Source organism: Homo sapiens, chromosome 15 (genome assembly GCF_000001405.40).
Source record: "Homo sapiens chromosome 15, GRCh38.p14 Primary Assembly".
Lineage (NCBI taxonomy): Eukaryota > Metazoa > Chordata > Mammalia > Primates > Hominidae > Homo > Homo sapiens.
This window is the reverse complement of record NC_000015.10, coordinates 78,387,256-78,411,735: the sequence shown is the minus strand read 5'-3', so window position 1 is coordinate 78,411,735 and position 24,480 is coordinate 78,387,256. Positions and strand designations below refer to the sequence as shown.

General features: G+C 48.1%; 1 long non-coding RNA gene across 1 annotated transcript, besides 3 other annotated features; it reads right to left on the bottom strand.

Moving 5' to 3' along the window:
- Positions 1 to 383: 383 nt before the first annotated feature.
- Positions 384 to 5,386, bottom strand: LOC105370912 (uncharacterized). The gene is made up of 4 exons (XR_932506.3): positions 5,285 to 5,386; positions 5,145 to 5,191; positions 3,803 to 3,898; positions 384 to 3,136 (listed from the first exon to the last, which is right to left on the bottom strand). It is a non-coding gene; the product is annotated as an uncharacterized LOC105370912 (long non-coding RNA).
- Positions 15,659 to 16,159: an enhancer, noted in NCBI's record as "NANOG-H3K27ac hESC enhancer chr15:78687919-78688419 (GRCh37/hg19 assembly coordinates)". NCBI's record gives its function as "activates a minimal SCP1, AML or CMV promoter by ChIP-STARR-seq in primed H9 embryonic stem cells {active_cell/tissue: H9 hESC(primed)}" and the evidence as "EXISTENCE:reporter gene assay evidence [ECO:0000049][PMID:30033119]".
- Positions 19,909 to 21,108: an enhancer, noted in NCBI's record as "BRD4-independent group 4 enhancer chr15:78682970-78684169 (GRCh37/hg19 assembly coordinates)". NCBI's record gives its function as "activates an origin of replication core promoter dependent on BRD2, P300/CBP, MED14 and CDK7 cofactors, and independent of BRD4, by STARR-seq in HCT116 cells {active_cell/tissue: HCT116}" and the evidence as "EXISTENCE:reporter gene assay evidence [ECO:0000049][PMID:35650434]".
- Positions 23,588 to 24,089: an enhancer, noted in NCBI's record as "NANOG hESC enhancer chr15:78679989-78680490 (GRCh37/hg19 assembly coordinates)". NCBI's record gives its function as "activates a minimal SCP1, AML or CMV promoter by ChIP-STARR-seq in primed H9 embryonic stem cells {active_cell/tissue: H9 hESC(primed)}" and the evidence as "EXISTENCE:reporter gene assay evidence [ECO:0000049][PMID:30033119]".

The window sequence follows — 24,480 nt, the reverse complement described above, 5'->3', positions numbered from 1 at the left end:
AGCCAGGGGCCACGTGTGGATTTCATTTAATCCTCACATCAACCCTTCCTGGCAGGGAATATCATCTGCCTCTACAGATGGAGAAAAGAAGCAAAGTGACTTGTCTTAGCTAGTAGGTAGCAGAGGTATGATGAATGTACAGGTCTGTTGGCTAAAAGCCAGTACCGCGGCCACCAGGCACTGCTCCACCCCAACCTGCACCTCCAGCCCCTCCTCAACTCTAGGGGCACAGACTATTTCCCCTCAAGGTACTAAAAAGTCTTCACATTACCTCATTATACCCTATCCTGTTTCGTTTTGTTTTTTCATCTGTAGCTGTTTGATTTACAAAACAAAAGCAGGAAGCCACTCAAATATCCATAAACAGATGAATGAATATACAATGACATTTTACAGCAGAGTGTATTTATCAGCAATGTAAAAAGAATGAACAATTCATATGTCTACACTGATAATATCAAAATAAGCATGATGACAGAGCACCCAGGGATTATAAGAGGAAACACTTTATTACATCAGTCCAAAAATTCCAGAAAGTGGAAATTACTCTATTGTACAGCAAAGTAAATCAGTGGTTATCTGGAAGGCAGAGAGAAAGACTTTATAAAAGGCTCCAGGTAAATGTAAAGGTGATAGATAAGTTCATTATTGTGACTCTGATGATGGTTTCATGGGATTACATGAAACACAAGACTTATACTACAGCTTAAATATGTGAAGTTTATTGGATGTCATTTATACCTTTTATTTTATTTTGTTTTTGAGATGGAGTCTCACTCTGTCGCCCCAGCTGGAGTGCAGTGGCACAGTCTCCGCTCACTGCAACCTCTGCCTCCCAGACTCAAGTGATCCTTCCCATCTCAGCCTCCCGAGTAGCTGGGACTACAGGCACATGCCACCAAGACTGGCTAATCCTATCCTGTTTTAAGTGAAATTGCCCCTGCCCCATGCTCCTGGCCACAGCTGATTGAATTTGGTGTGGTCGCCGCACCTGAGGGCCAGCAGTCCACAGCTGTCTACCACTGGTGCAATACCGCGGTGCTGGACCCACTGGCATGTATGTTACTAATTTTGATGAATCTTGCCAAATTGCTTTCCACAGAGCTTGCACCACTGGATACCTCCGCTTCCCTATGCCCTTTGATAACCATCTGTTATCAGGATTATTTTTCTTTTTTTTTTGAGATGAGGTCTTACTCTGTCACCCAGGCTGGAGTGGGATCATAGCTCACTGTAGCCTCGACCACCTGGGCTCAGGTAATCCTCCTGCCTTAGCCTCCCAAGTAGCTGGGAAAACAGGCACACACCACCGTGGCTGGCAGATTTTTTTTTTTTTTTTTTTGAGACAGAGTCTCGCTGGAGTCAGGATGGAGTGCAGTGGCGCGATCTCGGCTCACTGCAAGCTCCGCCTCTCGGGTTCACGCCGTTCTCCCGCCTCAGCCTCCCGAGTAGCTGGAACTACAGGCACCCGCCACCACACCCGGCTAATTTTTTGTATTTTTAGTAGAGACGGGCTTTCACCGTGTTAGCCATGATGGTCTCCATCTCCTGACCTCGTGATCCACCTGCCTCGACCTCCCAAAGTGCTGGGATTACAGGTGTAAGCCACTGTGCCCGGCTGCTAATTTATTATTATTTTTTTTTTTTTGTAGAGAAGGGGGTCTTACTATGTTACCCAGACTAGTCTCGAACTCCTGGCCTCAAGTGATCCTCCTGCCTTGGCCTCCCAAAGTGCTGGGATTACAGGTGTGAGCCACTGGCCAGGATTTTTTTTTTTTTTTTGAGACGGAGTCTCGCTCTGTCACCCAGGCTGGAGTGCAGTGGCGCGATTTTGGCTCACTGCAAGCTCCGCCTCCTGGGTTCACACCATTCTCCTGCCTCGGCCTCCCGAGTAGCTGGGACTACAGGTGCCTGCCACTATGCCCGGCTAATTTTTTGTATTTTTAGTAGAGACGGGATTTCACCGTGTTAGCCAGGATTGTCTCGATCTCCTGACCTCGTGATCTGCCCACCTCGGCCTCCCAAAGTGCTGGGATTACAGGCATGAGCCACCGCGCCTGGCCAGGATTTTATTTTTTTAAGAGGGTCTTGCTATGCTGCCCAGGCTGGCCTCAAACTCCTGGGCTCCAGCAATCCTCCCACCTCAGCCTCTCAAGTAGTTGGAACTACAGGCATGAGCCACGATGCCTGGCTTGTTATCAGGACTGTTGATCTTTACAATTCTCAGGGTAATGTTTTAAAAATCAGCTTTATCAAGGTATAATTTCATATGATACCCAGGTAGTTTTGATTTGCATTTCCCCCTTTAAGAAATGAGGCTCCACCTCGTTTCATAAGCTTAAATGATGAGAAGATTTCACGGTCCCTCAAGGAGAAATACTGTCCTGCTTGGTATCTTACCTTTGCACAAATTCCCAGTTTGTGCCAGGCAGTAACACACCCTGTTTATCTTAAATTCCCAGGTACAGTCGTTTGGGTCTTCACTGGTTTTAATCCTAAGGCTGTATGAGCTTCATGTACATTATCCTGTCTGTTGCCCATAACACTTCTATGAGATGATGATGATGATTTCCATTCTAAGAATGAGGAAGCAGAGGAGACACAAGTAAGCCAGAGGCAATGCTGGGTTTAGACCCTGGTTGGCTTGAGGCCACAGCCCATAATCTTCTCACTCTCTCACTCCAACTTGAATTGGAATCAGACCACCAAGACGCCCACCACAGCTTGGCCATTAGTTGCTGTGAGACAGTGAGAAAATCCCTTCCCCTTTCTGGTCTCTGTGCAATGAGTGGATGGAGTTGCTGACTTCCATGAGCTGGATGGGAGAACAGGGCAGGAAATGATCCAGGACTGTGAAGCTGTCAGTCTCCTCCTTGTTCATCAGAGTGAGTAAGTAGCAAAGCAAAGGAAAAGCAAAACTCCCACTCCCCAAAATGCAGGCAGCATCCATTCAGTCCTGAATTCCGGGGAAAGGCGAGAGATGGGGACAGGTCCATATTTCAAGCGTTTATCCAACATATGCAGGGCAGGCCAGCCTCCTCAAGAGGCTTTCTTTGTCCCAGGAACAAATTACAAAGGCAGGTGGAAGTAGTTATCCTCGTTGAAAGAAACAGGCACAGGAACTTGCTCAGAGGCCCTGAAAGATGATGAGAATGAAAACCAGATTTCACAGGGTTAAGGGAGCAAGTAAAGGAGAGCTCCCATTTAGTTTTAGAAACACAAGACACACATTTTAAAGAAGGGGAAATGAGGCATAGACAATCACATGACTTACGCAAGGTCACACAAGTTTTAACATGTGAACACAGGTCTGTTGATTCCCAACGTGATGTTCACCATCTCCTCATCCCCCTGCCGATCAGCCAAGCTTTACCCACCTACCCATGTGCAGGGAGACTTGAGAAGGCCTACACTGCTGGAGAGGAGCAGTAGGATTTAAGTCTTGATGACGCTAATAGGATACATCTGCTGGGCTTCCTAATTTAATTGGACTGTTATTACTTGCACACTGATGATGCTGTTGAATACTTTGCCTTTGGATGTTTGGTTAAAATGACTCTGTGTTTTGCCCCACCATTTGCCGGAATCTGTAGGGACAGAACTATACTCTCTAAAGAACTGTACTCTCTACAGAACTATACTCTCTAATTGTTCTTTGGAACAATTCCAAAGGTGTGGTTCATCCTGGGAACACATGGGAATTTTTACCCACAGTTTATAAAACGTCTCCATCCTTTCAAGCCCCTCTCGGCTGTCCTAGTACATGAACTATATTTCCCCAGGGAAGCTCAGAGAAGCTCACCTCTCTCAAAGGTGCCACTCCATATTGACCACAGTTCTGGCTGCATTCTGTCATTGGGGTGGGTGGATGAGCTGTGCTGGGTCGAGCCTGGTGGTGCTGAGAAATGAGGAAGGCAGTGCTGAGGAAAGGCCAGTCCATACATTGCTGACTATTGTCCCAGCTGTCTTTTGTCATTACTATCCATGCCCTAGATTGCCAGGGCCTGGAAAAAGGATACAGCTTTGACTCTAGTTCTCAACCAGGATGAAAAGGCTGAGCACCAAGGCTTTGAAGTTCAAATAAACTGGGTTTGAGTCCCAGCTCCGCTTACCAGCTGTTGACTTTGGGCAAGTTACTCTACTTCTCTGAGTCGCAGTTTGTTCATTATCAAAGTATGAATGAACAATAACAGCACATACACTATAGGGCTGTTGAGAGGATGAAATGAGATAATGTGTGCCAACTGATTAGGACTCTGTAAAACATAGCAAGGTACCATTGTTTTACATACCATTAAAAAAAAGAAACATTCTCAATTAAACTATTGCACAAGCCTTTCTTATCTAAAACAGATAGATACTATCTTTCTTCAAATAAGAAAGATATCTATGAAAAAGCTCTGACTTTACAAGTTGATATTTAATAATGTCACTTTTATACATATATAAAAGGGAAAATGTAAGCAGAATAAATTCACTTCAGAAGGGTGCAACTCTTTTGAATCAATTTAAATTAAAATTTTTTTTTTCTTTTTCTGTACTTAAATGGATGCAAACTGAATCACTTTTTGATTTAGCATCACTGGTGATCATATTTGCCACATAGTATTGTTATGGACACTTTTCTGGCCAGAGAGCCGTGGCCGATGGTGCCTTTGCCCAAGTTTTGCTTGGGCTGCTGGGCTCGTTCCACCCACTCAGGTTGGTTGCTGGCAGGTTGCACTCAGCTCACACTACTGGCCTGGATCTCACACCTCCAAGAGAGACTGGAGTCAGGCGTGGAGTGGTCAGGGGTACGTGAGCAAGCTGAGCGAGTGTGGGGTCTGGCCACCACGCAGTCAGACACACTGGTTGCCATGAGACAGACAGCTCCAGTTGCTGGCATGGGTGCCAGCTCTCTGTGAAGCTGCAGCTGGACCAGGTGCACTGCAAGCAAGCATCTTCCCCAGCTGGCACCAGGGAATGTGGCAGCACCCGGAAGTTTGGAGATGCCAGGAACCACAGGGCCTCAAGGAGGGAGTCACAGCCCTGGCTGACGGACCAGGTCTGGACTCCCTGAAGGGCCACAGCTCTTTGCCCACAACGTGGCAAGCAAGGGGTATGTTTCAGGCCTGTTTGTGTTACAGCAGCTCTTTTAGCCTCACCATTGTGTGGGTCTCGAGTTCTTGTCCTGCAGTCCTAAGTTCTTGTCCTGCAACCAAGAAGAATGATGTAGTCAGACAAGTGGAGGGTGAGCAAGATGAGGGGGAGTTTTATTGAGCAAGAGAACAACTCAGAGAAGAACCTGCACTGTAGCCAGGGTGTCCGGAGGAGTGTTCGGCCCCTAGCAGAGAGGGTAGCTCCTCTCTCCAGCTGGTAGTCCAGTCATCCCTGTGTCCTCAGCTCTGCTCTGCTCCGGCTGAGCCCACGGCTTTTATGGGCCTCAGAGGGAAGGAAGTGAGCACCAATTGGTCCGTGGGCAGACACAGGCGGGCCAGAAAAGACACAAGTCTCCACTCTGGTCCATAGGATTGGCAGCCCAGTCCCCAGCCTTCAGACCTTCCTTGGCCTGAAAGTGGAGCCTCACCAGGGACCTGCCCCCCTCCACCCAGGAGCCCATCTGCCTGCTGTGCTGACCAAGGCACCCAGGCTGCTTGTACCAATGGGCACCTGCAGGCCAGCACCAAGCCACCCTCAGCCCCTCACTCCCCGACCCCTCATTGTCCAAAGTCCAGAGGGGAAAAAGGCAGCAGGGCGCAAGCATGTGCACACCCTGCCTGGGCTCAGTCCCAACCCCACTCTGGGGTTGGAGCAGGTGCCAGCAGTGGGGAGAGACCAGGCAGTGGAAAGAGGCACTTCCGAGCCTGCAAGGGCAGTGCAGGGCCTTCCCAGGCCCCCAAGAGCACACGGAAGTCTGGGTCCACAAACCCAACTTGGGCGGCTGCAGCTGCACCCAGGAGGGCTGGGCTGCTGCCTGTTGCCCGCTCCTCCTGGCTCTGTGGAGCATGCAGCCCCGGCGGTATCCCCTCACAGCCTGAGGGAGGGGCTCCACGTCCTCTCTGGGCCCCGGGTGAGCATCCAGGGCAGAGGTTACATCACCACAAGCTCCCCGATGTTCCCCGGGTGCTCAGGGGCGGCCGGGCCGTCAGGAGTGTCAGGCTCAGCGGTCACCCTGACCCCAGGGTGGCAGCGCCGCTCCCACTTCCAGCCCCGGCGGGGCTGTGGTGGCAAAACGGGGCCCCAGCTCTGTGCTCCCTCCCCAGTTCCTGCATTCCTTGTACAAGTGCAGCGCCACCCCGGGCCCAGCTCCGCGTCCAGGCTCTCTCTGCCAGACGGCGCTGCTCCCCCACCAGCTGGTGACTCGACCTGGCCCCATCACCCACCAGGGCAGCAGGCTGCAGTGGTGGTGGGGGTTGGTGGGGGTGGCTGTCTGCCTCCTCCCCATACCCTCCCTGCAGTGGCTGGCATGATGGCAGTGGCTGCTCCTGACGACCCGCCACCGCCATCGGTATCATCTTCCAAGCCATCAACAGTGTGAGTGATGCACCATTTCTTACAAGGGATCTTTCCTACTGTCCCCAGGATTTCCTCACAAATCACCCAGCCTCCCCAAGGTTTATATATGTGTGACAGCTATATCTGATGGTCACATGCTAACCATGGTTGTAAGATGCATCCTGCGTTCACAGATGTCAAAATGTGAAAGTGTCAAAGTGTGCGTTATTTATTTATTTATTTATTTATTTATTTATTTATTTATTTATTTTTGAGACCAAGTCTTGTTCTGTTGCCCAGGCTGGAATGCAGTGGCACGATCTCTGCCCACCGCAACCTCTGCCTCCCAGGTTCAAGCGATTCTCCTGCCTCAGCCACTCGTGTAGCTGGGATTACAGGTGCGTACTGCCATGCCCAACTAATTTTTGTATTTTTAGTAGAGGTGGGGTTTCACCATATTGGCAAGGCTGGTCTCGAACTCCTGACCTCAAGTGATCCTTCCGCCTCAGCCTCCCAAAGTGCTGGGATTACAGGCGTGAGCCACCATGCCCAGCCCAAAGTGTGTGTTTTAGAATAATAAAACATGATACTACTGATGTGTTACAATCGGTGATGAAATGTAGTGAGACATTGGTAACTAACAATAATTAAAGCTTTTTTTTTTTTTTTTTTGAGATAGAGTATTGCTCTGTCACCCAGTCACTGCAACCTCTGCCTCCTGGGTTCATGTGATTCTCGTGCCTCAGCCTCCCGAGCAGCTGGGATTATAGGCACGCACTACCACACCCAGCTAATTTTTGTATTTTTGATAGAGATAGGATTTTGCCATGTTGGCCAGGCTGGTCTTAAACTCCTGACCTCAAGTGATCTGCCCACCTTGGCCTCCCAAAGTGTTGGGTTTACAGGCATGAGTCATCATGCCCAGCCTAATTAAAGCTGTAAAGTTTGTAAATTGCTTACTTCAAAAATTAGAGTATTCATTTCTACTGTTCTTCACAGCCAAGTTGCTACTACTGTTATCACTATTACATTTACATAACATTCTCTAAGTGCCATTCACGGACATAAATGCTTTACATAAATTAGTAACACATTTAATTCTCACAACAGTTGTATTAGGTAAACATAATTATTATACTCACTTTACAGATGAGGAAGCTGAAGCAGAGAGGTGAAGTAACTTGCCTGTTTGTTTCCAGAGTCTTGTTCTTAACTACTGCAGCAGGATTTCTCAATCTCAGCACTACTGACATTTTGGGCCAGATGAATGAATCTCTGTTGAAGGGGCTGTTCTGTGCATCGTAGGGTGTTTAGCAGCTTCCCTGACCCGTATCCACTAGATGCCCGTAGCACCTGTTACCCAGGAGTAGCAACCAAAAATATCTCTAGACACTGCCAAATGTCCCCTGTGGGGAGAAATCACTCCAGTTGAGAACCACTGCATTATACCTGGCCCCTCTGGGCAGCCACCGGGGAAGCCAGATCCCAGGCCTTGATGCAGAGTGTTTCATTCAAGTCTAGAAATTATGAGAAGAACCCAAGACTCTGGTCATGTGGCTGGTCAGCCTCTGGTGGAGCCATGTAGACCTGCAGAGAGCTAGCTGCTGTGGTAGTGGCTGAGGCAGAGCCAGCGGCCAAGGGTTCAGGAGATAAGTGAGGCCAAGAGAGTCTGGGAGATGCATCAGCCGTGTCTGACATGACAACAACCTCACAGAGAAAGTATTAAATAAGTCTCCTTTGTCCTTCAGACCCATCCCACTCCTTTTTTTTTTTTTTTTTTTTTTTTGCTTTGAGACAGGGTCTCACTCTCTCGCCCAGGCTGGAGTGCAATGGCGTGGTCTCAGCTCATGGCAACCTCCACTTCCTGGGCTCAAGCAATCCTCCTACCTCAGCCCCACTCCTCTTTGTTCCCTTCTCAGGGACAATCACTATCATGAATGTAGTACATATCCTTTTATATGTACATGATATATAATATAGTACATGAAAGTGTGTTTCATGCTTTCACCTTTATACGTTTATATTCATCAATGATAAATACATAGAACTGATTTTTGTTTGAAAACATATAAATACATTTTTTTTTTTGAGACAGAGTCTCATTCTGTCGCCCAGGCTGGAGTGCAGTGGCACAATCTCAGCTTACCGTAACCTCTGCCTCCCGGGTTTAAGCAATTCTCCTGCCTCAGCCTCCCACGTAGCTGGAATTACAGGCGCCCACCACCATGCCCAGCTAATTTTTGTATTTTTAGTAGAAATGAGGTTTCACCATGTTGGCCGGGCTGGTCTCGAACTCCTGACCTCAGGTGATCCACCCATCTCGGCCTCCCAAAGTGCTGGGATTATAGGCGTGAGCGACTGCGCCCAGCCATAAATAAAATTTTAATTTTGCATGATACAATTCTGTTTTCACTCAACAGTATATTTTGAGATCTATCCATAATAACACATACAGCTTTAATTCATTCCTTTTAATTGCTGTGAAATATTCCATTGTATAATTATGCCATATTTTACCTTGCCATTCTCTTATTGGCAGACATCTGAGTTGTTTCCAGTTTTGCATACCTACCAACATCTGCAGTGAACATCCTTGGATGTGTTTGCTTGTGCGCACACTGAACTTCTCTTGGGTATATGGAATTGCAGGCTTATAGAGAATGTAATTGAAATTAAATGTTCCATTTTGTGAGATGCTGCCAAGTTGTTCTCTACTGGGTCTATATCCGTTTACACTCCCACCAACAAGGCATAAAAGTTAGCCTTTTCTACACTCTTACCAACACTTGATATTGCCATTTTAAGAAATTTGTGTGAATCCAAATGAGTCTATTCTTACTGGGGGTGGGTCAAGCATGTGAACAAACATCGTCCATCATGTGCGTCTCAGAGGGGAAAAGGCTGAGCGTCGCTCGGTCTGTGAGAACAGTCATGTTTGACCACAAACATATCGAGATTTAAAAGTTGATGAATTGCTTAACAACCCCTCATAGTAAGTCACTTTAGCCAGTGAAACAAAAACTGCTCTTAAAACAAAGCAGTCATCAAATTAACTGCTGTGATGAAAGGACTTCCCAGTGGATTTCATCAATGTGGTCTGAAGTTTGCACAGCAGGTCCCCGTAGATGTTCCTCAGTGGTGCAATAACATTGAATCTGGAGGTCTGCCCTCCCGTCCATGAGGCTCTGCATGTGGGCAGGTGTGAAATGAGAGCCTTGCCCCTATCCCGATGCATGATCAAGTATTGGTAGGGTAGATCGTGGTGGTCTGCATCTCTGCCCATCATGGAAGAAGCTGGGGTTGACCTAGCAAGACTGCTTCAGGAGGTGAGCTCTGCCGGTTTTAGTCCTTTTCTGTACTGGGACCACCTCTTGACCCAGGTCTTTTGGGCCCTTCTGGCTCACCTGCTGGCTCCCAGTCATGCACCTCCTCCCCTCCAAGTCACAGTCTTTAGGGTGTTACAAAAACACAGCAGTAAGCCCAGGAATCAGACCTGGGTCCCACTTGTAACCCATTGCTCAGTGGGCTGGCAACTGCATCTGTACAGTGGGGACAATCCCTTCCCCTGGGATCTGCAGGGGTTAGTGTGAGGAACAGCACACAGCAGGAAGGTCTTTGGAAACTACCAAATGTCAGGCCAGGCGCGGTGGCTCACGCCTGTAATCCCAGCACTTTGGGAGGCTGAGGCGGGCGGATCACCTGAGGTCGGGAGTTCGAGACCAGCCTGACCAACATGGAGAAACCCTGTCTCTACTAAAAATACAAAATTATCTGGGCATGGTGGTGCTTGCCTGTAATCCCAGCTACTCGGGAGGCTAAGGCAGGAGAATCACTTGAACCTGGGAGGCGGAGGTTGCGGTGAGCTGAGATCACATCATTGCACTCCAGCCTGGGCAACAAGAGCTAAATTCTGTCTCAAAAAAAAAAAAAAAAAAAAAAAAAGAAGGAAACTATCAAGTGTCGTAGGTAACAGGTTAGTTGGGAGGAAAGGCGGTTTAGTGGAGGGAGCTCCAGTTTGGCTCTTCAGTAGCCTAGTCTTCACCACTTAACCACCTAAGTAACTTCAGGAAGTCTCCTCCTCTCTCTGGCCTCAGTTTCCCCATCTATGAAATTAGAGCATTGGACTAGATTAGCACTCCCCAAGCCAATGTCACAGAACTCCCAAGCTATTTCATAGAAAAGGGGTTCCGTTGTCTACTCAGTCTGAGTTCTTACCGAATGCGGTAACTACCATGAGCTCACATTGAAACGCAGCATTTAAAAGCTCTGAAACATCTTGCAGAAAAGGTGTCTCCCTAACATCTTTGGCTTTGGAACCCTTTTGCTATTGGGTGAATTATACCATTTTAACATCTCTGAAATCAGGGCTGTGTCTCACAATGGCTGTATCTTAGAATCTTTCAAATATGGTTTTTTTTTTTTTTTTTTTTTGAGATGGAGTCTCACTCTGTCACCCAGGCTGGAGTGCAGTGGCGGGATCTTGGCTCACTGCAACCTCCACCTCCTGGGTTCAAGTGATTCTCCTGCCTCAGCCTTCTGAGTAGCTGGGACTACAGGCACATGCCACCATACCTGGCTAATTTTTGTATTTTTAGTAAAGATGGGGTTTCTCCATGTTGGCCAGGCTGGTCTCAAACTCCTGACCTCAGGTGATCTGCCTGCCTCAGCCTCCCAAGGTGCTAGGATTACAGGCATGAGCCACCACGCCCAGCCTCAAATATGGTTTAGTAATAGCTATCAATCTGGAGTGTCAACTAAATGCAGGCACTAAGTGTTTAATAAATTAGTATTTATTTAGTTTTTTATTCAGTATTTCCAGTAATCCTGAAAATTAGGGACTGTTATTATCCCCACATTGCAAATGAGAAAACTGAGTTGCAGGGAGGTTAAGAAACTCACCCAGGATCACATGGCTAATAAACAGAAGAGCTGGGACTTATATCCTGAGGCCGAACTCTTTTTTAAAAATTATTATTATTATTATTTGTACAGATGGGGTCTCGCTGTGTTGTGGGTCTTGAACTCCTGGCCTCCAGTGATCCTCCTGCTTCAGCCTCCCAAAGTGCTTGAGATTATAGGCATGAGCCACTGCGTGCAGACAAGACTCTGATCTCTCAGGCCCATTTGGAATCCTGTCTGTGATTCAGTGACCATGAATGACATACGGCATGGTTCTCAAAGGCCTTGAAAGTACCATGTTCCTTTAGAAAGAGCAGAACTTTTCTAGCACTGGCATCAGAAAACAAGACAGTGGGCCCCTGAATGCACCCAGGCTAGCATGTGGAGCAGCAGGGGAGTGGCAGTGGGAGGCAGGCAGGCAGGCATGCATGGAAGCAGAGGGACCTGGATCTGGCCTTCCAGCAAGGGGTTTTATGAAGTGGCTTTGCTGGGCAAAAGGGAGATCAAATGACTGACCCACCTAGCAATAAGGATTGCACCCTAGACCTGGATCCTGCTCTGAACTTTGCAAAGCCTTTCCCACTCTTGACAGTGCTCAAGGCACACCTGTGAGGTAAGCAGGTAGATTCACTGCTCTCACCCACCTAGGTGAGGATGCAGAGGCCCAGGGGAAGTAAAACCCAGAAATGCCTCTTTGCAGCTGTTTCTCACTGGGGTCTACACAGGCAGTCTGTTCTCCCAACTCTGCAACATGCAGGAAAAAAGCATGCAGAAAAAAAGACATTGCTTCACCTTGGGATACAGATTTCTAGGCCAACCCGTTTCTGATGATGGCAATTACAAAGGCCATCCCTTCCACTTCCTCGTGTCCCTCAACAGCCTGGTGGCCCCGCTGGGTTCCTAACATCCTGCTTCCCAGAGAAGAGCTGAAACTCATTCCTGTTGAAGTATCTCTGTCTGGTATCGGCTGTGTTCCTCATGCAAGACGGATTTGCGTCTTGCGAGGGAAGGAAGCTCTTATAACCAGGCACGTTTCTCAAACTGTAATGTGCATACCAACTCTGGGGGATTGTGTTTAAAATGCTGAGTCTGATTTTGCAAGTCTGGGCAGGGCCTGAGATTCTTGCATCACAAGCTCCCAAATAACTCTACGACTGCTGGTCTAAGGACCACACTATGAGGAACAAAGACAATGGTTTGGTGGAGAGTCTGGGGTTGGGATGTCTGAGCTCTGCTTCAATGCCTTCTTTCAGACGAGATTGGGCGCATTCAGGGTGGTATGGCCATAGACTTCAATGCCTTCTTTCTATCTAGCTGACTTCGGAAAGCTACTGACCAACTTCTACTCTCAATTTTCATCTGTAGAATGAGAAATGTTTTTAGTAATTAAGAAATACCCAAATATTAGTAAATACTGAAAATAGTAGTACCTTCCTAGTAGAACTGTTGAGAGGATTAAATGAAAAAAGTACATACAAGGTACTTAGCTCAGAGCCCGGCGCTTGGTAAACCCTCGCTAAATATTAATTAGCAGCTATTATTAGGGGGAAAGGAAAAGCTAGTCTGGTAGAATCACAAGCACCAGGAAGCCATCAGGGAGGTGGGGAAAAAGGGCGGTTCTTTCTGGAGTCAGGAAGGTAAAGCCATTCTTATCCGGCCTTGGAGCCTTGGAGGCAAGGTCCCCTCCTGTCAGTCGTCAATGTTGCCCACTGGTTTCCCTGGAAAGAATGAGAATCCTGGGTCATTCTGGGCAGCGGTGACAGGTCCAGCCTCCTATCTCTGCAGCTTTGTCTTCTCAGGAGCGTCACTTGCTTACAGCCACCCTCGGCTGCTTCTTCTTAAATCATCTCCACATCACAATCACAGAGGGTTGGGAGCCCGCCTGCATCTCAGGGGCTCCAGCTGTCTCCCATGGAATACGAATAGCACTGTCGGGCTGTTGGTCTTGTTGCCTTTGCAATCTGCTTTCTGCACAATGTCTAGGTTGAGCACATTTGCAGGCTCAGTGAAGCCATTATTTTTCTTGGTGACATTTTCTGGCAGCAGTCTAAATTCGTGAAGAGCTGAGGACAGCCTTTGCCTATGCCTGGAACTGGGTGGCCTACTTCCCCATTGCCATCTGTGTCTATTTGTCCCTGGACTTAGACACAGACTCATTCACACCCAGACCAAAGAATCCCAGGTCAGTGGAGCTCAGGTGTAGCTCTTGTCAAATTAAAAGGTACGTGGGATGCCCCAGGGATCCTGTTAAACTGCAGACTCAGTAGGTCTGGGGCCAGGCCTGAGAGTCTGCATTTGTAACAAACTCTCAGCGCCATTTCATCTGATGGTGCTGGTCCATGGACCAACCACACTGAGTAGCCTAGTGGTTCTCAAGCTTCATCCTGCATCAGAATGACCCTCAGGTCTTATTAAAACACAGATTGCTGGGCCTTTCCCAGTCTGATTTTGAAGGCCTAGGGTAGATTCCAATATTTTGCATTTCTAAGAAGTTCTCAGGTGATACTAATGCCGCTACTCTAGGGACTACACTTTGAGAACAATTGTTTTAGTTTCCCGACCTTTCCATTACCTTTATTATTATTCCTTGAGTTCTGTGACTTTCTTCGAGTTCTCTAGTCCTGACCACTTGCCACAGTTCAGTCCTGCTGAGTACCTCCAGTCTGTCATATCTATAACTGACAATGCCCCAACTTGGCCAATGACACCTTTGTGTTCCTTTTGGCCTCTGTCTTGAACCTGTTGCCCTGGCTTGCTTCACACTCTGCAAACTTGCCAGCCTCATTTTCTCACCCACAGCTTCTCCGGGTCCTTTCAGCCTGAGCCCTAACATGGTATCTCCAGCCTTGGTCTTTGTATCACTGCTCTGCCAACCCCAGACTTCCTGCCCTGGCTGGCCTGGGTGAGGGGTTCACTCCTGCCCTAGGCACCCCCCTCTTTTTCTGGCTCCTCTAGGGGCACCAGGCAGCTGTCAGGGCCCTGGCATGCAAGGCTGTGCCCAAGGGAAGCGGACATCATGGAGCTAATTAAACCAACGTGGACCCAAGTGCCTGGAATTCAGGAGGCTGTCCTCTCCCACCCACCCCAACAGAGCCCCGCAGACGCTGGAGTGAGTTAGTTTGACCTTCTGGATTGATGCAGTTAATGAGATGGTTGTGTAATGCTTTGTTTAACAGAACTGGTTTCTGGGCCCGGCCCAAAGCTAGGCTGGACTCTGGCTGGCTTCCATGCCCCAGCCCTGCTTGCTCCCTTGAGGCTCCCTCTGGCCAGTGCCCTCTAGGGGCCGGGGCTGATATGTTTATTGCTAACTACTCCGAACTCGTCTGCCTCCTCTGAGGAACCCGGGGACAATTCCTCTGACCTTTCCCTGCAAGCTCCATCTCTGTGAAACTTGGTCTCACAAGCTAGCCTTTCTTGCTTGGAGAATCTGTGTTTGAAGTCAGAGCAGAAAAAAACAGGCTTTTCAGGGCCCTGCTTGTGGCAAGTAAGTGACAGCTCGAGGGCCTGGTAGCCATACCTCTGTGACTAATAATCTTTGGCCTCAAAGATGCAATTTCCTTTCTCTTCCTTGCTATAGCTCCCAAAGTTCTTTCTCACCTATATGACAGCTCTTGCTTCAACTATTCTAGGTCGTCCTCCCGGAGTCTAGCACACGGGAAGGCCAAAGGCTTGGTATCAGACTGGCCTGGGTTTGAATCACAACTCCATCACTTTCTAGCTGTGTGACCCTGGGCAAGTGATTTAACCTCTCTGAGCCACAGTTGCCTCATCTGTAAAATAAGGAACACAGTCCCCATCACCTCACTCCTAGGGACAGTCCAGGGAGAAAGTGAGAGGATGTGGTGAAGCACCCAGCACAGTGTCCAGTACGCAGGGGTCTTACTGGTTACCCCCATCCAACCCCAGCACCCTCCAAGGGGCTGGGCTTCACACGGCTCAGCTCTTCAGACAATAAATGAGTGATTTGGGCCGGGCACAGTAGTTCACACCTGTAATTCCAGCAGTTTGAGGGGCCAAGGCAGGTGGATCACTTGAGGTCGGGAGTTCGAGACCAGGCTGGCCAACATGACGAAACCCCATCTCCACTAAAAATGCAAAAATTAGCCAGGTGTGGTGGTGCATGCCTGCAGTCCCAGCTACTCAGGAGGCTGAAGCAGGAGAACTGCTTGAACCTGGGAGGCAGAGGTTGCATTGAGCTGAGATCCCGCCACTGTGCTCTAGCCTGGGCAACAGGGTGAGACTCTGTCTCAAAAAAAAAGAAAAAGAAAAGAAAGAAAGAAATGAGTGGATGGGATTCTAGGCTGGTTTGGTTCCTTCCTGGCTCTAACTTGAGTGAGAATAGCAGAGTGGACTAACAGATGGTACCAGGGAGAGGACCTGAAACCTAGGCCTGGTTGAGCACCCCTCCCAGCCTGTGTGATCCCAGGGAACCCACCTTCCCTCTCTCTGCCTTGGTGGTGTCATCTGTAAATGAGACCACTCAGTTGTAAAACCCAAGTTCTTTCCAGCTCCACGATTTGAAAATAGCTACTAATAAAATCAATAAACATGTCCAATTTTTGACAATTTTTGTCAGTGAAAAAAAAATTGAATAAACACATGCTGGCTGGTGGCTGGGACTTGTGTGACCATGTGGGGTTGCTAGGGTAGGTTCTGGACCCTCCTCAATCCCTGCTCTTGGTGAATGCTGAAAACAAGGACATAGTTCCTCCAACCCTAGGCCACGCTTCCGTGATCCCGTCTCCATCGCGGAATTCCTAAGCCCTTGACTTCTAAACCGTGCTGTTATGGTGTCTGTGTTTTTCCTCTTTCTCATCCAAGAGCTGCTTCCTGGTGAGTCGGACATGTTGAGCCACATGTGGTAGAGCAGTGAAAGGTTCCAAAACCTGTAGGTGGTCCCTCCCCAGTGGGCTTGTAATCGCTTCCCGGATTCCAAAGCCTCATTATGTGAAATCCAAGCTGGAAGCCCCATCCAGGGTTTGCCTCTCCCATCTCAGCTGTCAGCGGGTGCTTGAATTGTTTAGAACTGTTTGGAGGGAGGTGGGAGGACTGAGGCTCAAGAAGGTCTGTTTGCATACTGCCCCTCCCATCTTCCCCTTGTTAATGTTGGCCCTGGTGGAGTCTCCTTTAGAGCCGCGGTCTCATCCTCTGGTGTCCCTGCTGTGGGTCTGCCAGCCTCACTTGGGCTCAGAGGCGGAGCATTTGTCCTGGACCTAACCCTCTCACTGGGGTGGGGGCTGTGGGGCAAAAGGCGGGGCTCTCAGGGAACAACTATTTTCCTACTTGTTCGCGTTATCAGAATTAAACTTGAAATGAATCTAGACATCTTGTTGTACCATTCCTTCCTTAATGCCTTCCATAAAGAGGGACTGAACACCTCCTACAACCCAGAACAGGTACTATGGGAAGCTTCAAAGAAGTATCACATACTAACCCTGCCCTTTAGGAATGAATAATGTAGAGACAGGTAGGAGGTAGTCAGCTCTTCATTTATTAATGTAGAGACAGGTAGGAGGTAGTCATCTCTCCATTTATTCTTTTTTTTTTTTTTTTTTTTTTTTGAGACAGAACCTCACTCTGTCACCCAGGCTGGAGTGCAGTGATGCAATCTTGGCTCACTGCAACCTCCACCTTTCGAGTTCAAGCAATTCTTGTGTCTCAGCCTCCCGAGGAGCTGGGACTTCAGGCGTGCACCACTATGCCCAGCTAATTTCTGTATTTTCAGTGGAGATGAGGTTTCATCATGTTGGCCAGGCTGGCTCGAACTTCTGACCTCAAGTGATCAGCCTACTTTGGTCTCCCAAAGTACTGGGATTACAGGCGTGAGCCACCAGGCCCAGCCTCCATTTATTCTTTTATGTATTGGGTCAATAATCTGTCATTGAGCCCTGCTTTGTCTCTTAGCTCTCAGGTATAAATGGATGTTTTTTGAGGGAAGAGGGAGGACTGAGGCTGAAGAGATTCTGATTATATATGTCCACTCCCTTCTTGGGGCTAGTGCAAACAGGGGATATTGAGTTGGGAAAATGTAGCCCTTAACCTGGGGTTGCACCAAGCCTAGCACACAAACAACTAGATATGAGGCAGACTCTTTTAAGTGCCTTTATAAGGCAGAAAAAGTGAACTGGGAGTGTGTAGGAGGCAAAGATCACTCCCAACTGGGGAACCCAAGGCGGCTTCCTGGAGTAGCTGTGCCTGTAAGAATGAGGATAGAATCCCTTCAACTAGAGATGGAAAGGAGAGAATTGCAGGTACTTATAGATAACGGCAATGTGTAAGAAAACCCATGGAAGGGCTGGAAAAAGCAAGATGTGCTCAGGGAACAAGTTCGTTAGAAATTAAGCAGGAGAGATTATCCTCCTCTACTGAATAGCTGTATGGTCTTGGCCAAGTCACTTAAACTCTCTGGGCTTTACTGCTTTGTGTATACAATGGGGAAAAGGCAGACAGCTCCTGTGAAGTCCCTTTTCTTCCTTCCTTCCTTCCTTCTTTCCTTCCTCAATGAACAAGACTAAGTCCCCGCCCTCATGGAATTGGGAGGAAGAAAATAACAAATAGGACAGGCCGGGCACAGCAGCTCATGCCTGTAATCCTAGCACATTGGGAGGCCAAGGTGGGATGATCACTGAGATGAGGAATTTGAGACCAGCCTTGACAACATAGTGAGGCCTTGTCTCTACAAAAAATACAAAAATTAGCCAGGTGTGGTGGCGCACATCTGTAGTCCTAGCTACTTGGGAAGCTGAGGCAGGAGGATTGCTTGAGCCCGGGAGGTTGAGGATGCAGTGAGCTGTCATTACACCACTGCATTCTAGCCTGGGTGACAGAGCAAGACCCTGTATGAAAACAAAAGCAATAACCAGATAATAAATAGGACAGAAGGTGCTAAATGCCTTGGAGAAAAATAATGGAAGTGGAGAATGGGTAGCAGTAGGATAGCAATTTAAGCAGGATGTCAGGGCCAGGCTTGGTGATTCACACCTGTAATCATAGGACTTTGGGAGGCTAAGGTGGGAGGATTGCTTGAGCTCAGGAGTTCAAGGCCAGCCTGGGCAACATAGTGAGACCCTCATCTCTATAAAACAATAGAAATTGAAACAAGATGTCAGGAAGTTCTCACTGATAGGATGACAATTGATCAACAACCTGAAGGAGATGAAAGAGGCAGCCACGTGGATATATGGGGAAGAGCTGTCTTCTGGATAGAAGAGACAGGGAGTGCAAAAGCCCTGGGGTTGTTGCAAGCTTGGTGTGTTCAAGGCCCAGCAAAGTGGAAAGCATGGCTGGGATAAAGAAGAGTAGATCTGCTGGGTGTGGCAGCGCACGCCTGTAATCCCAGCACTTAGGGAGGCCAAGGCGGGTGGATCACCTGAGGTCAGGAGTTCGAGACCAGCAGACTAATGGTGAAACCCACCTCTACTAAACACATAAATTAGCCAGGCATGGTGGCGGGTGCCTGTAATCCCAGCTACTTGAGAGGCAGAGGCAGAAGAATCGCTTGACTGAGATCGCATCACTGCACTTCAGCCTAGGCAACAAGAGCAAAATTCTGTCTCAAAAAAAAAAAAAAAGTAGATCTCCATGGAAACTGGCTCCAGAAGGATGTATAAAACTGGTCCTCTTTTTGCCAGGGTAAGTTTCATTGTGTAATCAGAAATAGCTTGATTGGGCTGGTTAGCAGGAAGCACTTTCAATGCTAGCATTAGCAGCTGGCCGAGTGCCTGGGGTGCCTGGTGCACCTGGGGGCAGTGATTGGCTGGGCCTGTTGTCTGAGAGCCTACTTCCTGATGCACCGACTGCAGGGATTCTCCAGGAGCTCCTGCCTCGGACTCAGTTTGCAGCTCTCTTTGGAGTATAGCAGGGTATAGCACAGTGTCACCCATGCTGCAGCAGCAGGCCTCCGGCACTAATGCTGCTACTCCTCTCACTGGGCACTAGCCCTATGCTGATCCTCAGTAAGGTGACAGGACAGTGTGGGGAGAGAGCATTTGATAATTTAACAGAGCCCTGCTTCCCAATCCCTAATATTTCCTTTTGCCCCTGGCCTGGGAAGTTATTCCTTCCCTCATTCAACCAGCCAAAGGATCCCTCGCTTGTTACTCAAGGGAAGCAAAGACTCATCAGAGCTCCGAGAACAAAGTAATTTTGGCTTTGGAGTCACCAAGGCTCAGGGATATCTATGGGGCTGAGAGATGAGGATGAATGAGGATGGGGCTCTCAGGTCCCAGGCAAGAAACAAGATTATGATTGGGAGGTAGGAGAGGAGGCAGAGGAAGATAAAGGCTGCAAATGGTGGGGTCCCTTTGGAAGGACACTGTGGATGCCGGGGCCCTTCCAGGTCAAGTGCACAAGCAGAAGGGGTCACTGTGGGCTGTCCAGGCTGACTGGTGTCCTAGAGGGCATTCCCCAAGCTCTGGGTCCTGCTTGATGCTGGCTCCGTCTTATGGTCCTGTATGCTCAAGAATGGGCTGGATGTGGACCCTGTGTCCTGGGAACCCAGAGGCCAGACCACTGGGCTTCGGGGAGGATAACAATGTCAAACCCCCATATTAAGAGAAGCAAATATTTATTACATGTAGCATTCATTCCACAGCACTACACTTGTAGTACCTCAGTTAGTCCTCACAACAACCCATTACAGGAGGCACTATTTTTCTCCCCATTTTACAGATGAGAAAATTGAAGCCATTAGGAGGATAAATGACTTACCTAAGGTCCCAGGGCCAGCAAGAAGCATGGCTGGGATTTGAACCCAGACAGCCTGGTTCCAGAATCTATTCTCTTAACAGGTTCCTAACATCCACCCCCAACCCCCTTAAACTCTCCATAAATCTTCCCAGAGTTTACATGCAATCCCAGGTAAAAGTGAAGCGGAATCCCAAATTGACTACGATTACATTTCTACCACCTTCTGGAATGGGGCTCACCAGTGACATTTAGTTTACTTACAGGTTAATGAAGAGTGTGTGGACTAAGATTTATTTCCATTATGATAGCCATCCAGAACTTGAGTACCACTCCTGCTATTGCTGCTGCTCCTCCCGCAGTCACCACCATTAGGTCACCTTCCATGGAGCAGGTCAGGAAATTGAGCCACCGCACCTAGGGTAAGAACAAAGGCACACCCACTACCGTGAATATGGCTTCCCCTTTCCTGCTCAGGGGTTTCTGGTTCTTGGGCTGAGCCATTCTAAGTGGGTGAGGTTGAGGCACTTCTCACTGACTCCAGCAGAAGGCTTCCTGGGATTGACTGGAGGCATCCATCACCCCATTCATTCAGCCTATTACGCCCGCGGCTCTACCCTCATCTGGAAAGAATGAAGGCAGAAAAGCCCTATGGTCTCCTAATGCAAACCATTTGTGGAGTCAGAAGGTAAATGGATGTGATTCACATGAACATTCCAGCTTCTCTTTCAAGAGCCAGTGGTCAGTGTGGAGAGGGCAGGGCATTTTTGCAGAAAAGGGACATTTCTGGTCAGACTAGACTCATTCTCCCATAACATCCCTGGACCTCTTTGGGAAGCTGGGTCTGATCCCCTTTTGGTTCCCTCCAGATGAACTATGTGTTTGTGTGCAAGAGGTCAGTGTTTTAGAAATTCCAACTGGACAACTTTGGCACTATCTTAATTTCTTACAGGTCACGGCCCAAGATACAATAATAGATTCAACATACCAAAGAATACTGAAAGGACACTTCACAGTTATCATCCCATTTCAGCAGAATGTAAACTCCCTGAGGTCAGAGGTGTTTATAATTGGTTTGTTCTCCACAATCTAGGACAATGCTAGGCCCCTATGAACAGTTTTATCTCAACTTCCTTTCCAGTCTCTCTTTTCTCTATATGTCTCCTGACTGCCTGCCATCCTGCCACACCCATCCTCTTTCTGTCCCTTGTATACTGCCAAGCACTCTCGTGCCACAGGACCTTTGCACATGCTGTGCCCAGTTAACCCCCATCACTTCTGAGCTCTCAGCTCAATTATCACATGCACAGGGAAGTCAGCCTCCCAGACTAGGTCAGTTCCCCCATTACAGATTCATGTTACATTTTGTAACCCTCTTTGATGCATCTGTGACAGTTATTTTATACTTTTTCATATGAATCTTTGATTAGTATCTGTCTCCCTCTCCACATAGTCAACCTCATGAGGACAGGAACTGTGTCACAATCTCCCCCACTGCCTTGCCCAGGGCCCAGCACCTAGTAAGTATGAAATGGTTACATCAGCATTTGTTGAGCACCTGGTACTGTGTACCAAATGCTGAACAACTCTGAAAAATAGATATTAGCCTTCTTTTACAGATAAGTAAACTGAGGCCTAGAGAAGAAAGGAGACGTGCTCAAAGTCACACAGTGGCAAGGGCCAGAGGCAGACTGATTCCAGTTCTTCTGACTCACACCCCAGGATCCTTTCCATCTGTGTTGCCACCTACATGTCTACTAATTGGTTGAAGGATTAACCTGGTTATTTGGGACAGACAGCATCAGCCTTGCGTATAAATTTACAGACAGAAGAGTTATTTCAATATGAATTAGCAGAGCCCTTGCCCAAGAAAGGAGGCTGCCTGGGTTCAGCTCCAGGCCAGCCCCTCACAGTTTAGCTGGGGGCAAAAAGTTCTCCACCCAGACAGTGAGCTGTGCTGGTCCTCTGGTGCCTTCCAGCCCTGCTGGGCCATGAACTCTGAGGGTGGTGAGGCAGGCATTTCCCGGGCCCCCCAGTAGTGTGCCTCTTGGTTATGCGATTTCTAGAGCAGGCCACATGCACACCAACTGCACTTTGGGAAATCGCCCCAGGTCCCGGTTCACAGAATTGCCAGGAAAATGACAGCTCTGAGTCCACATGAAAGGCATTCTTGGAAAATGTCTCTCCGCCCTCCCTCCTTCCCCAGCTGGAGAACTTTTTGCCGTGAATTGTTGCAGCAACTGCTGGGATCAGTTTGAGAGGAGGGAGCTGGGTCTCATTTCTTTATTGCTCCAATGTGTGCAGAATCAACTCAATTCTCCGGTAATTTCCCTTCTCTCCATCTCCCCATGTAATGAAGATGCCCACAGAAGTGGAAACAGCAGACAAAGGGCTTTGGGTTCCCTGGACTCTCCTGCAAAGCTCCCCAGCCACATTCCAGACCCTCTAACTAAAGTACAGAGGGAAGGGGGAAGGGACTGTGGGGTCTGGGTTGTAAACGTCCCCCCTGCACCAAGTTACCAGGAAGTGGACAAAGAAGCAGCAAAGGGGCAGTTCCTCCATGTCGTCTGCACATCCCAGAAGTGATGGCCGCGGTCATTACTGACAAAGATGTACCCATGTTGGTGGGTCTGGACAGGAGGAAGTGGAAAACGTCAAAGTAAGGCTGCGGACTTTCATCGGGACGTGAAGCTACATCGTACTTAAGCATCTGCTCTCAAGTGGAGTTTTTTTGTTTTTGTTTTCTGAGACGAAGTTTCGCTCTTGTTGCCCAGGCTGGAGTGCAATGGCGTGATCCTGGCTCAACACAACCTCCGCCTCCCGGGTTCAAGCGATTCTTTTGCCTCAGCCTCCCGAGTAGCTGGGATTACAGGCATGTGCCACCACGCCTGGCTAATTTTGTATTTTTAGTAGAGACGGGGTTTCTCCATGTTGGTCAGGCTGGTCTCAAACTCCTGACCTCAGGTGATCCACCCGCCTCTTCCTCCCAAAGTGCTGGGATTACAGGTGTGAGCCAACGTGCCCGGCCTATTGCTTTTTTTTTTTTTTTTTTTAATAGACACAGGGTCTTGCTATGTTGCCCTGGCTGGTCTTCTCAGCCTCTCAAAGTCCTGGGATTATAGGCATGAGCCACCACGACCAGCTTCAAGTGGAGTTTTGTTCGCACTTAGCCCCTCCAGGGGAGCAGGGACGAGAGTACCTTGTCACACTTCGGGGATTATATTTCCAACAGCTCCAATTCTGTACAGCAGCGCTGTCCTATATACTTTTTTTTTTTTTTTTTTTTTGAGAGAGAGAATCTCGCTCTGTCACCCAGGCTGGAGTGCAGTGGCACTACCACAGCTCACTGCAACCTCTGCCTCCTGGGTTCAAGCGAGCATGTCTGGCTAATTTTTGTATTTTTAGTAGAGACGGGGTTTCACCATGTTGGCCAGCTGGTCTCAAGCTCATGACCTCAAGTGATCCACCCCCCTCAGCCTCCTAAAACTCTGGGATTACAGATGTGAGCCACTGCGCCCAGCCTCCTGTATATCTTTCTGCATGGGATGGGAATGTTCTATCTCTGAGCCATCAATAGAATAGCCACCAGCCACATGTGGCAATTGAGTACTTGAAATATGGCTAGTGCAACCGAGGAACTGCATCTTTACATTTAGTTTAATTTGAATTAAGTTAAATAGCCACATGCGGTTGATGGCATCTTATTGAATGCTGCAGTCCTAGAGTCTGGCTACTCAAAGGGTGGTCTGATGACCAGCAGCACCACCTGAGAGTTCATTAGACCTAAGCTCCACCCCAGGACTATTGAATCAGACTCATGTTAACAAGATCCCCAGGTGCTCCATGTGCACATTAACATTTGAGAAGAGTTTCTCTGGAGCACAGCCAAGAACAAAGGAGCAGCAAGTAAAAAATAACAAGAAGAAGAAGAAAAAAAAAGTCTGGTGGATTGGAGAACAGCTATCACAAATTCTCTGTACCTTTCTCATATAATTCCCTCCACACTCATTTAGGGTATACTAATGCTTACTTTGGACACAATTGCAACATCTTTGGCTACAGTGTGTTATTTTCCAGCCTGCAATAGATTAGAAGCAGCAGTATAGAAGCAGCTAGAGGCACAATTAGAGCATCTTTACCACCACTGCAAAGTGCTACATGAATGTAAAAATGCTGATTGCCCGTGCCATTTTGGAAGGCAAGGTCTGGAGCATCTCTCCAAGACCATATTAGAATTTCTTTACTAGCATTCTGCAAGCCAGGGCAGCGTTCCAGAATTTCATTTTTAAGTACATGTTAGTGTCTGGCACAGATAATAAAACACACGCTGCATGCCGATGAAATTTAATGTTCAAGCTAAATAATAAAATGTTTTATTTATGGGCAAATTTTACATCTCCCCATAGGGAGATAAGTTAGTGC